The following is a 14,630-nucleotide window of genomic DNA, read 5'->3' as shown; positions in this document are numbered from 1 at the left end:
CACTGCTAGCTGGGCCAGTGATGTCAGTTTCAGTTGTTTTCTATACTCAGTTTATCACATAAAATCCCAGTTCAGCCTGCACATCTGTTTTTCCTCTGGGACTCATTTTAATTTCCTACCTAAATTATCGTCCAGCTATGCTTGCTCAGCCTCACCCATGCCACCCTCTCTGCCTTTCTACTTGTATGGAAGCCCTCTTGAGCAATGCATTACAAAATTTTCAGTGTCTGCCTTTTTGGAAGTGGATGCCAGTAACTAAATTGCCAACACTGCCTCTTCAGACATTGAGTGAGATATTTTGTTAGTAAACCATGGACTCTGTGTAAGAATTGCACACCCTTTGGGACATCAGGAAGACTCTCTGGGCCAGTGTTTAATGGAAATAGCAGCTAAGGCCTCAGAGAAAACACTTAGCTTCTGTTGCCCAGTCTGTTGTAGTGAGCTCTGGAGCACCTCACACTCCAGCTGCTTGGCAGGAAGTAGACTAGTCTTCAGTAAGTGTGTATTGGGTTGCTGCTACAATAGTAGCTCACAAAACTCAGAAGTGGAAAGAATATGCCCAATTTGCTCTATAACATGTCTGGCCTTCCTCCTTAGCTCATACCCACTGATTAGCAAGACAAAAACATTAAACCCCAAACTGGTTTAAGAGCTTAGTATGATCTACTCCGTCCCTAAGATGGCATCTGGGTATGAGGGAGAAGACAGGAGTGGTTTTCATGCCTTTATGGCATTGGGGTAGGGTAGGCTTTGTGCTGGTCCTGGGGTGACGACTGGTTGATAATCACTGTACTAGTCACTAATCACAACAGCTGCTGGCCTCTCATGCTGTGTCTACACCTGGGGAAACGGTGATTTTTTTCTTTTCTTTTTGCTTGGAGAGTGCTTGCAGGGAGCACCAACCAGCTTCCCTCATTGTCTCTGCTTCTCCTCAGCTCTTAATGGCTGAAGACCCTTGGGGAACCGCTCCCTTGTGTAGTCACCTCATCCTATCACAAAGGGCACCCACACTACACAGGAACTGAGAGTGCCCCAGGAGAATCAGGATACCCTGAGCAAACACTCTTGCCTAAGCTTGGCTGCCCTACATTAGCCATGGCACCCTTGCACGAAGTCTCCTCCCAGAATCTCAGACACTTCCCAGCACCTACAAAGAAACAATTCTGGATGTACATCTGGTCAACCCACTCTAACCCTTTTCTCTTCTTCTTTTTCTTGGAATTGTCCAAGGACAGACAGAAAAAGACTTTCTTCCCTGACTCCATCCTCCACCTCATTCCTCAGTAGTTTAGCCCTCCTTTTAGTAAAACTCTAGTTATTGGTATGTTGAAAGGAGTATAAAGGAATTTAGACAATCATTTCAAGTTTCAAGCCAGGCTAGGATAAGTCTGGTTTTCGAGTGTCAAAGCTGAATATTTTGTTCATTTGCTTTGCATTCCTTGTAACAAACTGTAATAGTCTCTTATCTTCACCTCATTGTCCCAGGTGGATGATTGTCACAAGACAATGAGGCAATCTTTGGCAAGCTCAAAAAAAAAGTGAAAATCCATTAATAATTTAAAAAATATTTTTAAAACTGTTTTTTTTTTCTTTTTTTCTTTTTGAGATAGAGTCTCGCTCTGTCGCCCAGGCTGGAGTGCAGTGACGTGATCTCTGCTCACTGCAACCTCCACCTCCTGGGTTCACGCCATTCTCCTGCCTCAGCCTCCCAAGTAGCTGGGAATACAGGCGCCCGCCACCATGCCCAGCTAATTTTTTGTATTTTTTAGTGGAGACGGGGTTTCACCATGTTAGCCAGGATGTTCTCAATCTCCTGACCTCGTGATCCACCCGCCTCAGCCTCCCAAAGTGCTGGGATTACAGGCGTGAGCCACCTTGCCCGGCCTTAAAAACTTTCTGATGCTACTTAGGGGTAGGAGGTGGATATCAGGAATGGAGAGAGGCTTGGCTCACTTTTGGAAAAAAGTGCTTCCATGGATAATCAGAGACACTTTGAGGCTACTCCAGAGACCTGCTGTATTGCATGCTTGTAAGATCAGTGGAGACATTTGCAATCTTTGGTTGTGGCTAATGTGTTCCATATTGGAATTTTGCTTTGCTTTGTAGGAACGTTTTAGGTATTTTTGCTTTCTCGGAAGCCATTAATATGACAACATTGCCCATGTGTCATTACTCCAACTTCAGCAGCTGATTGATTTATTGTCTTGGAAACCCCTGAGGGAAAAAAAACAATCAGCATTCTTTCTTACTCATTAAGTACTTAATGTACAGTAGAAAATAATTGCAAGTATGTTAACCTTTCCAAAGCTTTTTCTAAATTGAAATTAATCTCTTCAGTCAATAAATATTTATTGAGCACTTTATTGATGGGGTTTCTAATAACTTATTGTAGTAAAAAAAAAAGTGACTTGCATGTATATCTCATGGTGAATGTTTAATGAATATGTACTTCTGATCTATATTTATTTAACTCCATCTGGTCCCCTACTTTAGCTTAAATAAAATTGTAACCACTGGCATAAACTTGAGCTCTTTATCATTTCTAAACCTTCGGTTATCAGATAAAGAGAGAGATTTGAGATCATCTAGCCCGAAGTCCCTTTCAAGGCTTAAAAAAGAAAAGACCTTTATGATTTTAATTATTCCCTAGATAAAATTAAACTATTCTTTGGCTGTAAATACCATGTCTTGAGTGGACATGAAGTTTTGCTGTATATGGAGGGGTCAAACCCCAGTCTTTGGATGGCAAAAGTGAATCTGTTAAATCATCCAAGAGTGATCCCAACTGGCCCTTTATGGAAGACGTGGAAGGAGTGAGGGTGACAGATCCTATTTTCAAGTATTGAGCTGCCAATCACTACAGCAAAATGCAGAATGTGCTTCTAAAGCCCCAGGAAAGAACCTGGAGAGACCACTGAAAATGGTCAACCTTAGTTCTCATTTTGTAAAACCTGAGAACACCATTACTTGAGAAGTTATTGTTGAATTAGCAAAGTCAAATTAATTTTGCGCTAATGATAAATATAAACACCTGCGAAAAGCCACTTGCAGACAATGGAATGAGGTCTTGAGAGTTGCAACTAAAGTTGGAAATCGCTATTCTAAGAGTTTGTGCTGTTTTCTGAGTATTGAAAAGCAGCCATGTTGTTGTAGTTAACAACACTGGTTTGGACCCAGGCAGGTGTGTTTAAATCCCAGCTTTTGTCACACACATCAGTTATGATCTTAGGCAAGCTATGTATCCTCACGATGCTGTTTGCCCATCTTTAAAATGGGAACCAGGGCTCACCTTACTGGACTGTCCTGGATACTAGCTATGGATTTGATAAGATGATGCACATAAGCCCTCGAGCACACCATCACCCAATTCGCATATATTGAGGCTTTACCGTAATTATTGTAAATACTTTGGGGCTCAAAAATGCTGGGTAGACTAATGTGCCACTGTGGAAAACGAAGTCAAAGGGGTGAAACCAACACCAATGTGAGGATGGCAGAGATGGGCATTGTTTGATTTGAAAAAAATTATGTAACCCTACATCCACCATACTTTTTTTGGTCCCTTTAGTTACTAAAATGTATCCTTGTGTGCTTGATCATTTGATATCCACCACAAAGCAACGTGACTTCATTCACTTTGCAGTAAGCAATATTCAAAAAGCAATCCATCTTATTACTCATCTCTGTATCTCAACACCTAATAGCATATGCTAAGTGCTCGATCTTTCTTAAATGAATGAATGAATAAATCTGCATTTTGTAGATGAGGAAAGCAATGCTCAGTGAAGTCCTGACTTGCCCAGTATTACATTGCTCAGAAGAGAGGGTACCAAGTCCAGACCACGCTATCTCTTAAGGAATAAGCTTCTGACAGAATTGCTCAGGAATTACATCCAGTAACCTACTAGGCTCCCGTGTTTAAGACAGTGTGTTCTTGACCATTGAACATGTTAGAACAGAAGCCAGAAAACATCTTTTAATGACATTTCCTGACTTTGGGGGAAGCATGACCAGTTCTCTGAAAGCCTTTCCTGCAATGAGATCCCATTTTGATCCTAAAGAGTTTGTGCTCTATTAAGCAGTACATTTGCTAACAACTTCTTAGGTTCAGATCTTCTAACAGAAAATTAACTTTAGCTAATGTAAGAGACGTTTCCTGGAATGAAGGTAATATCAGGAAATGGGGCTTTAAATGCTAACAGCATCTATGTAGATAAGCGAAGCACAATTTCAGTGTACTAAAGATAAATTGAAGGGCAAATAGTTTAATGCTATCCCCCTTTTTTTTCCAGGAAAGTCTGGGAGGGTTCCAGTTATAAGCTTTTAAATGTGCACATGGTTCCCATATGTTCTGTCTTTAAATGCTGAAGATTTATTAAAGCAAAGCATCACACTGCCAGACAGATATTATTAGAAACATTTTTATTTAAATTCAGACAATAGAAAGGTATACAGAAAAAAATTACAGAAACTTGCAACAACAGTATGCAACTTGGAAAATTTATTAGTAAAGAAGGAGGGGAAAAGTTATTCCTAATTTTGCCAAGTACTGGGTTAGTCCTTAATAGAATAATTTATCAGTTCAGCAAAGTATACCCCCTTGCTGGTGTCTTTTGAGCAGACAGATTAACAACGTCATTAATCTACTAAACTGATATCTAGTAAAACCTTCCAAAGTAAAATAGTCAAGGCAGCATTTCCCCAACATTTGAGATACAACTTCGGGGAACTGAAATAATTACAGTAGAAAGTTAAAAAAAAAAAAAGTCATAGTGAATAGGTATAACCTGGATTTCAGCCCACAGATATTGCTTGTGGATCTGATGGAAAACAAACAATCTTAAACCTGGACAACTCCCGCCTGCCCCCGTCCCTGGCCCCAACCAGCAACACACATACAAAGATGCCCTGCCTAGACTGTGGAGGACAAAAGCCCTAGACTAATAACAAAATGACCTGGGCCCTGGAGCCCTGGATCTATGCCAAACCCTTTCTGAATTCTGGGTGGATGGGGCAGTGGGTTTAGGGTAAGGAATGTAAAAAACTTTTAAACTTTGGCAAGTATACAAATGAGTCTTTTTTGATTGTCACTTTTATAAGGAAATATCATTCTACCCTTGAAAAGATATTTTTCTATCATATGTGACTTCCCTCTCAAACATTTGAGGGCAAATTTCTGTAAAATACAGGTGGACTCAAACCTCTATTTTATAATGGTTAGTTTATCATTTTTCACTTTCTCTATTTAAAAAGTGTATAAAAGGTATAGTCTAGGCCAGGTGTGGTGGCTCATGCCTGTAAGGCCAGCACTTTGGGAGGCTCAGGTCGGTGGATCATTTGAGGTCAGGAGTTCGAAATCAGCCTGGCCAACATGGTGAAACCCCATCTCTACTAAAAAATACGAAAAATTAGCTGGGTGTGGTGGCAGGCGTCTGTAATTCCAGCTACTCGGGAGGCTGAGGCAGAATTGCTTGAACCTGGGAGGCAGAGGTTGCTGTGAGCTGTACTCCAGCCTGGGTGACAGAGCAAGACTCCGTCTCAAAAAAAAAAAATTATATATATATATATATATATATATATATATATATATATATATATATATATATATATACACACATATACATACATATATATATAGTCTATCATTGACAACCCCAAGATATTAGTGGTAATGGAGGTTTGAGAATATGGTTATTTTTTAATTGAGCCTCTATATATTTAATTTCTTTACAATAAATTACATATCAGACCTCTGATAATGCAAATTTCACCATTCCTTTCAACCTTAATACTCTCATGAAGGTATTAAAATCAGTAATGAGCCAAGAAGTATGGGGCCTGACTATCTGCAGAGCTAATTTTTTCTAAAATGCTATAATTAGCTATATATTCACTTTTTTCTTATAAACTCTAAGCTTAAAAAACAAGAAGGTCAAGAATAAACAACGCTGTAAAATACTATTCCAAGAACTCACAATCTTCTTTGAACTCACAGCTCTTCCTTATGCCTACAATAATTTTGCTAACAGTAGCATGATTGTTCTATTCCAAAGGGTAACGAAAGGTGTTTAAAGACCAGATACAAGACCCAAAATTAGAGTCAAATCATAACTTAAAAGGGAAAATTACTGTTCATGGTATCAGGATAGAAGGAATTTTAAATGCTATTGATAATTCACTAGGTTAGGACTAAGTATTTATTTTAAAATAAAAGACTGGCCAGGCACAGTGGCTCACGCCTGTAATCCCAGCACTTTGGGAGGCTGAGGCGGGCAGATCACTTGAGGTAAGGAGTTTGAGACCAGCCGGGCCAACATGATGAAACTGTGTCTCTACCAAAAATATAAAAAATTAGCTGGTTGTGGTGGCGCATGCCTATAATCCCAGCTACTCAGAAGGCTGAGGCAGGAGAATTGCTTGAACCCAGAGGCAGAGGTTGCAGTGAGCCAAGATCATGCCACTACACTCCAGCCTGGGCAACAGAGCAAGACTCCGTCTCAAAAAATAAATAAATAAAAATAAATAATAATTAAAAAAAAAGACTGGGCCAGGCGTGGTGGCTCATGCCTGTGATCCCAGCACTTTGAGAGGCCAAGACTGGTGGATCACTTGAGGCCAGGAGTTCAAGATCAGCTTGGCCAACATGGTCAAACCCTGTCTCTACCAAAAAAATACAAAAATTAGCTGGGTGTGGTGGCACACACCTGTAGTTCCAGCTACTCAGGAAGCTAAGGTGGGAGAATTGCTTGAACCTGGGAGGCGGAGGCTGCTGTGAGCTGATAGCGCCACTGCACTTCAGCCTGAGCGACAAAGTGAGACTGTCTCAAAAAAATAAATAAAAAACAGGCTGAGCACGGTGGCTCACGCCTGTAACCCCAACACTTTTGGAGGTTGAGGCGGGTGGATCACCTGGGGTCAGGAGTTCAAGATCAGCCTGATCAACATGGTGAAACCCCGTCTCTAGTAAATACAATAAATTAGCTGGGTGTGGTGGCACGTGCCTGTAAGCCCAGCTACTTGGGAGTCTGAGGCAGGAGAATCACTTGAACCTGGGAGGCAGAGGTTGCAGTGATCCGAGATTGCACCATTACACTCCAGCCTGGGCAACAAGAATGAAGACTCTGTCTCAAACAAAAACAACAACAAATTAAAAAAAAAAAAAAAGAATGGCTATGCAGTTACTTTTCTGGTTACAGAAAAAATCCTGCAGACCTTTATAGGAATAAATTATTGATCAATCCAAACTTTCACCATGAAGTAATCTTGTAAGTCTGGAGGACTCTTAAAGTTATGAATTATTATGGAAACATGGAGCTCCTAAGTTGCCATAATCTGTCTTCACATTGCTTGGGCTGAGGGTGGGGACAAAAAAGAGCAGGTGGGCTGTCTACCAAAAGAGATATAACCCATAAGGTGCATTCTTCCTAATGCAGTCATGGAATACTTCTGCCACACCTGTTTAACGGGTGACAGCATCTGTAAAAGTGACATTTGGATGGATGTCAGGAAGCCATCAACAAGCAGTTAACAAAGCACCCACTGTAGGCCTACAACTAGGCTTGTTTCTATGGCAAGTATAAAAATAAGGAGATACATGTGGGTCCTGTCTCCAAAAGCATAAAATATTATTTTAAATGTGCTTTTTGTTTCTTATTTTAAAATTAGAAATTCTAAGTACTATGTAGATGTTAACTTTTCTTGGGTCTGTATCCTTTCCAGGAAAGGCAGGATAATAGGGAGGGCTTTGTCACAACTGGCAGATACTGCTGATAAATGACATAAATGACATACTCAAACACAAAACTCCAGCAATATAGTGACTGGTAGCTGCCAAAACTTTCTGCAAACCACATGAAACTGCTTGGGGAGAAGGCATTATGTAAATGCTAAGGTGTAACACCTAAGAAAATAGCTTTGAACTCTTAGGCCGTTTGGTTATATATGTCAAAACTTGGATTTCCTAAACTAAGTCTTATTTAAACTATAATTATAGTTTACAAATGCTTATATATTTTACTGGACTTAATTTTGAACATAATGTCATCAAGTGCTGCCAAACCATTTTTGAAAAGATAATTCAAGAAATTAACAGAAAGCTCAATTATTGAAGCTTGCGGGGTGGGGGACCCTATCAGTGGACTGCATGACTGCAGACCACCCCCACCAAGGTACAGCCTTCAACACAGTCCAACCCTCCAAAAACATCAGGGAAAACATCTCCACCACAGATTCTATGTCATGCAAATGAAGAGATTCTGACAGCCTCTTTAAGATCTCATATCCTGGTCCCTAGGAGCTTCCTAACTTCTAGTGGCCATTAATTAAAGAAACATAATACCTTTATGAAGTAAGTAGTCTTTCAGGAAGACCGCAGTGTGACATGCCTGAAGAAATACATATTACAGACTGGGTGTGAATATATCTGTTGTTTCTAAGAGCTGGTGGCTCTTATATTGAATGAGCTGGCCACTTTGCCTAAACATGCTATGATTTAAACAAACACACCATGCACCATGAACTGTCATAGCATTTTTAACCCTCCATCAATATCCAACCTGTATAGAATGTGCAGAGAAGTCAGATCTTGAAGAGGCCCAAGTCTATATAGCTCTAAGGCAGGGAAGTCCTGTCTTCCTGATACTCATGTAGTTAAGGAAATTGCTAACTTGATGGGTTAATATTCACTCAACCTCTCAGGAAATTCTACTGTTGTGTCACCAGTGCATGTCATCTGAAGCTTCGTAAAATTGCTAAACCATACAAACCATACCATGTTATTTTGGAATTTGTACAACTTAATGCACCCTAATGGGAGCATAATGATTATGTTCATTCAAGTTATAAAGCAATTTTATATTTACAAATACTTTACAAAAATAATTCATTCTTTACATCAAATGTGATCAATAAAAATTAACCCAATTTCACAGATAAGCAACTAGATACTGATATAAATTACACAGAAATCAATTCAGAACAAAAAATATGAATTTATTCTCTTTAAACTTCCAGCCCTTGTAAGTCCTTCCTACCTCTAATTAATTCAGCAGAGTAGCTGAGCTAAAAGTTCACACAGGATTTACTACTCAACTCTTCTTCCAGCTTAAAGTAAGTAGGAGGAACACTACTCTTTAAAGTTCCATGGCTAAAGGATAAACAGAAACATAAGCGCACATCATTTCACAATTAGGCTCTTTCGGTTGCAGCCTAATTTGGGGGTTTGAAACATTCAGCTGGGAAATAGAGGGTCCATATAGAAACAGACCCAATTGTTGAAATAGAGTTTGAAATCACTCCAACATCTGATTTGTGTTCAAGGTTCACAATGAGGTCTTAACCAAGATATGAGACAGCAGTTGCTGAATCTCAATTGTCATGATCTTCTGTGTGTTCCATTTCAACCCCCTGCTATATCCACTGTATTCATCATCACAGTAAACAGGTATAGAATTTCCATCACAAACAGTATGAATAGCTAAGTTACATCTCATTGGATGAGCCTATCCATACTCTTAAGACTCAAGTTATTTCTGTTATCTCTAAATGTGTGGCTTCTAAGAACAGGAACGTAACTTACTTTTCAATCTAACAGTGCAAATCAAATTACATGGATTCTAAAAACACCAATTGACCTAAAAGAAGAGGTATTCATTGGGGGAAAATGGCTACTTATTCAATTTGTATGAGAAAATGGGAAAAAAGAAGAAAAATAAACTATGTTTACAGGATATGACAGAATATCCCATAAACTAACGTTATCACAATAAAAATGCTGCATAATAAATAAGTTATTTTAAACATAAACATTTTCATATAAAATATATTGTCAAATTTGAAACTAAGTTCAAACTTTCTTGTAAAATAGCCTCTAGAACACCAATTGAGGTAACAGGGACTCAAGAATACTGAATAAATGAACATTACATAATTTGCATTAATAACTTTTAAACCTGACTCTTTAATAAATCTTGGAATATCTCTTTTAGTTGTAAAAAAGATATTCGGTTAAGAGTTTGGATTCTATTTTGATGTTTAGCAAGCCAAATTATCTTTTTTGTATGATGCTTAAAATGTAAACAGCACTGCTTGACACAATAATTATAAACTACATGAATGAAAGATTTGCTAAAAATTTCATTTACTAAAATCAGCCATTTTTCTGATTTTATCCTGACAAAAGAGTAAATTACACCTTGGGATATATATATATGTTTTTTTTCTGTCAGTTTAATCCATTTTATTGACTTCTCAATTAACAACAAAATTCATTTGGACAGTAAATCAGAAAATACTTTCTATGGTGGCTTTAAATTACATTTTTTAACCCAAAAATGTTATCCAGAGCCATTTTAGACAACAAATGTATCTTAAGTACAAACGGTAAAAATTCACATTCCCTTCAGTAACTCTCCTTCCACTTAGAACACAATGAACTTCTTAGGTAGGCAGAGTTCTCGTTCACTTAACCACAACCCCATTTTAGCACAGAACTGCAGCAAAAAGAATTGAAGAAGTGATTAGAAAGGATATGCATTATTAATAAACCATATGCTATGTGAGTGTTAGGTTCCCACGAAATATTTTACTGTATATTTAAAAAAAAATCCCTTCTCAAGGGCACTGCTTTCATTCAAGGACTGATTTCATTACCTACTTCATTATCTTTTATAGTGAAATGCTCCTTTTCAAGTTATTAATACACATTGGAGTTGTTACCAGCAAACACTGTCCTACACCTGCAGTTCAAAATATGAGTAGCAGTCTAATACTTAGATTCAGTTATAAATTATATATGTATAAAACAAAGAGTTGCCATTATTTATATATTGTAATAAATACACAAGAATGAATACAAGTTATTTTTCATAAAATACAATTTCTAATCAATTTAGGGGATTTCCACACTATGAGGACATTAAATACTTAAAACACCAGGTAATCCCCTCTGTTACAGAATGCCAGCCGGGTGAGATCTTAAAGAGATTCTTTATTGATAGCCAAATACTGTTGACTATACTAGCAATCTGTATTTTCTTGCTATTTAAGAAAAAAATACAGAACCTAGACATTTAAAACATTATCCGTGTAATAATCACTACAGACTCTCACTGGGTCTTTAAAAATTTTGTTAAAAATCGCCAAAGTCATGATGAACACAATTAATGCAGCTACATCATTTGAAAAAGCAATATAAATTATGCTGTTAAAGACAAAAACATTGACATACATAAACATCACAATGTAACACAGCAGTAACTAATTGCTATTTCATATGAAAAATTAAATGTAAAAAGTTATGCTAGAGAACTTGGAAATTTTTCACTTTAGCAAAATGTTCTATTTATATACCTCCAACTTCTATGATACAGTATACAATAAAATACTTTAAAAAGATATGACATTCAAATGCTTCATTTACACAAATAATATTGCCAATACTAATAAAAGTGATGCCCTTAAACATGAACTGCTCTGCTAATTGTAATTTTAAAATGTTTTCTTTACTTGATTTTACATTTTAATTAGCAGGTAGCATTACATATTAATCAGTTCTGTGCTGACAAATAAGAGAGGTCCTAGTCAAAATACTGTTTCTCAAAAGTAATGTACATCATATTGCTTGAAACTAAACAACCATATAAAAAGTGGCAATCATTTATCTAAACATTGATTATGAAAGACAACTGGCATATATTCAGGCAGAGTGTTGAGTTCATGATTGTTTATTTACAATAAAAGTACTTTTACTGAAGCTAACATAAGTTTTTAGGTCAATTACTACAGTCTCTTAAAGTTATAAAAATATTATATAAAATACCACAGGCTTTAGAGGCTATAACTTCATGTGGTTCTGATACTAGCAGCTGAAAAGTGTTTATAATTTAAAAATAAATAAACTATAGAGGTAAACCAGTTACAAAACAGCAGAGGACTGAGATAGTCACAAGAGTGAAAAGAATTGCTCAGTTACACAATAGCTAACAAAATGGTGAAGCAGTTGGATCAAAAGTTTTAAAAACCTCTTTCAGAGATTTGTCATCTGTTTCTCTACCGGGATCATTATCTGGGGTCGGGCTCCCCTGTCCTGGCTGCCTTGCCTGCCTTGGATCACTGTACTGTGGCCTAATTAAGCCTGTTAATGCCTGAACAGGAAGGCTGTGCACTGCTGGGACCTGAACCTTACCAGAACTCCTGGGAACGTCCGCCTGTGGGTCAGCTGGCCCCTCAAGAGTGACTCCCACGTTTGGACTGGGTTTTTGTGGAAGGATGGCTTCTCCAGGAGAAGGTTCAGTTTTGTCACTACTTTTTAAGCCACCACTTTTTTTCTGGTTCTTTGAGTTTTCTCCTGAAGAAGCTGTTGCTAGCTCTGATGTGGATGATGAACCGTGATCCCTAGGGTCATACAAACTAATACCACTAAGAACTGAAGTGGAAGTTCCCAGTGGAAGGCCAGCTGAGGAAGAGAGTTTAGGGGCATATGGAGGCAGAGCCCCGGAACCAGAATTGCTAGTTCCTGCCCCTGAGGGCTGTGATGAACCAGGGTTTGATCTGGGTAAGTGAGGGGCACCCTTTGATGCATGTGAATCCTTCATAACCACTTGATGAGACTCTGTATTGGGCAGTCTGTGAAGCCTAGGATCAAAATTTTTTTGTAGTCTAGGATCTCCTAATTTAGCTCCTGAACCGTGTGAGTCTCCAAATTGTTCTAGGTAGCCTTCTCTGTTTGTTGTGTTAATTTTGGCTTTGGCTGCTAATTTTGGATCAATGGACACTGTATTTTGATGAAGATCACTTTTTGTATTCCATAATCTATTTAGCCTCTGGTCAGCTATAAGTGGGGGCAGAGGTAAATTGATTGAAGACACTGGATCAGGTTTAGGTAAAGGTACTGGAAGTAAGTCTTCGGGAGCCCACACGATGTGTTTTGCAAAGTTGGGTTTGGTTAGAGTAATGTCCATTTTAATGTGACTGAACTGTCTCAATTGTGACCTTGGATCCTGGAGCATTATGCCAGGTGAGGCATCCAAAGGTATTAAGAAAGCTTTTTCTCTCAGTTCTCTTTCTGTATCTTCATCATCATCATCGCCTCTTTTGTGTTTGACATTAGTGCCAGCATTTGCATGATGCAAATCAAACTTTGCTCCACCAACAGAAGAGCCTATGTGACCACTTCCATTCCCTCTCAATTTCCTGGGATCCCACGCAAGTCTAAGATCCAGTGGGGCAGACTCAGAAGGCTTTCTAATGTCTTGCCTTGGGATAGTCCTAAGCCTAGGGTCAACCACTTGGTTTCCTTTACTTTTCTCTTTAGCAAGTCTTGGATCAGTAGGAGTGCTGAGTTCTGTGGAAGGTTGTTGCTGATTCCTTAAAGTTTCTGTTTGTTTCTGTAATGTTTTCAGTATTGATTTGACACTGCTTCCTTCTTCCTCTTCACTACTGGAATACCAGTTAACTGTATCATCTAAATGCAGACAAAAACTTATTATAAACTTTATATTATAAACTTATAATATAATAAAATTATTATATTATAATTATAAATTATTCTTTATAATATGGCTACATTTATATGTAGCCTTAATTAATATTAAAAAACACATACTATTTCTGAAATAAGTATAATCTAACTTCAAGAAAATGCATAACAAAAATGCCAGATTTCAATACTGGAACAAAATAAGATGTGGTAAGAAAACTATCGATTCAGTCATTATACTCTATTAAGGAAGTGGGGTGATACTAGAATATGTGTAATGTCCTTCCAGTCAGAGAAAAGGCAGGACCTTTCCTTCCAACTGGCCAAAGGGAATTCAGATATGTGTGTTGTATGTGTGGTGGGCTGTAGGAGAAAGGAAAATGCTGTTAGCATTCTAAAATATGCTAGGTCTCTTCAAATCAAGCATTCCTTAAGCTTCCTAGCTCTGAATTTATCAAGTTAACAATGGACTAAAAAGAAAACAAAACACTGAAAGTGATGGTTAAGGTAGCAATGGAAACTGAGCAAATGAGGAATGGGGTAGAGACTTTTCATTTACTCTTTATTATATGTTTAGATATTTGACCTGTGTGACTATATTAGCTATTCAAACATTAACTTTAAAAATAACAAAACTGGCTGGGCGTGGTGGCTCACACCTGTAATTCCAGCACTTTGGGAGGCCGAGGTGGGCGGATCACGAGGTCATGAGATCGAGACCATCCTGGCTAACTCGGTGAAACCCCGTCTCTACTAAAAATACAAAAAAATTAGCCGTGCACGGTGGCGGGCACATGTAGTCCCAGCTACTCAGGAGGCTGAGGCAGGAGAATGGCGTGAACCTGGGAGGCGGAGCTCGCAGTGAGCTGAGATCTAGCCACTGCACTCCAGCCTGGGCGACAGAGCAAGACTCCATCTCAAAAAAAAAAAAAAACCTACCATCCTAAAACTTACATACTTTATGAGAACACTTTGAGTCTTACTCTTAAAGCCTATTTAACTCTAGCATATTAGATGCAAGTTTAAGAAGCCTACCTAAAGAAGCCTACCTATCGTAAGTCTTTTCTCTAGCAGAAGGAATTACAAACTGATGTTTCAGAAGGGTGATTCTCCCTCCTCTCCATTAAAATATACACAGGTTGGCTCTGAATTG

General features: G+C 38.3%; 1 protein-coding gene across 2 annotated transcripts in view; it reads right to left on the bottom strand.

The window, feature by feature from the left end:
• Positions 1 to 4,407: 4,407 nt before the first annotated feature.
• The window catches only part of ZC3H6 (zinc finger CCCH-type containing 6), a 64,463-nt gene continuing 54,240 nt past the window's right edge, over positions 4,408 to 14,630 (bottom strand). The window contains exons 12-13 of one of the 2 annotated variants that reach the window (XM_006712519.4): positions 12,185 to 13,462; positions 4,408 to 10,490 (exon numbers count right to left, since the gene is read on the bottom strand). In XM_006712519.4, the coding sequence (XP_006712582.1) occupies positions 10,480 to 10,490; positions 12,185 to 13,462 (1,289 nt within the window). In that variant the 3' untranslated portion in view covers positions 4,408 to 10,479. Of the gene's footprint in view, positions 13,463 to 14,630 lie in introns of both variants that reach the window. The other variant, NM_198581.3, reaches the window with a different exon arrangement.

This window comes from Homo sapiens, chromosome 2, assembly GCF_000001405.40.
Source record: "Homo sapiens chromosome 2, GRCh38.p14 Primary Assembly".
NCBI lineage: Eukaryota > Metazoa > Chordata > Mammalia > Primates > Hominidae > Homo > Homo sapiens.
This window is presented reverse-complemented; position numbering and strand designations above follow the sequence as displayed.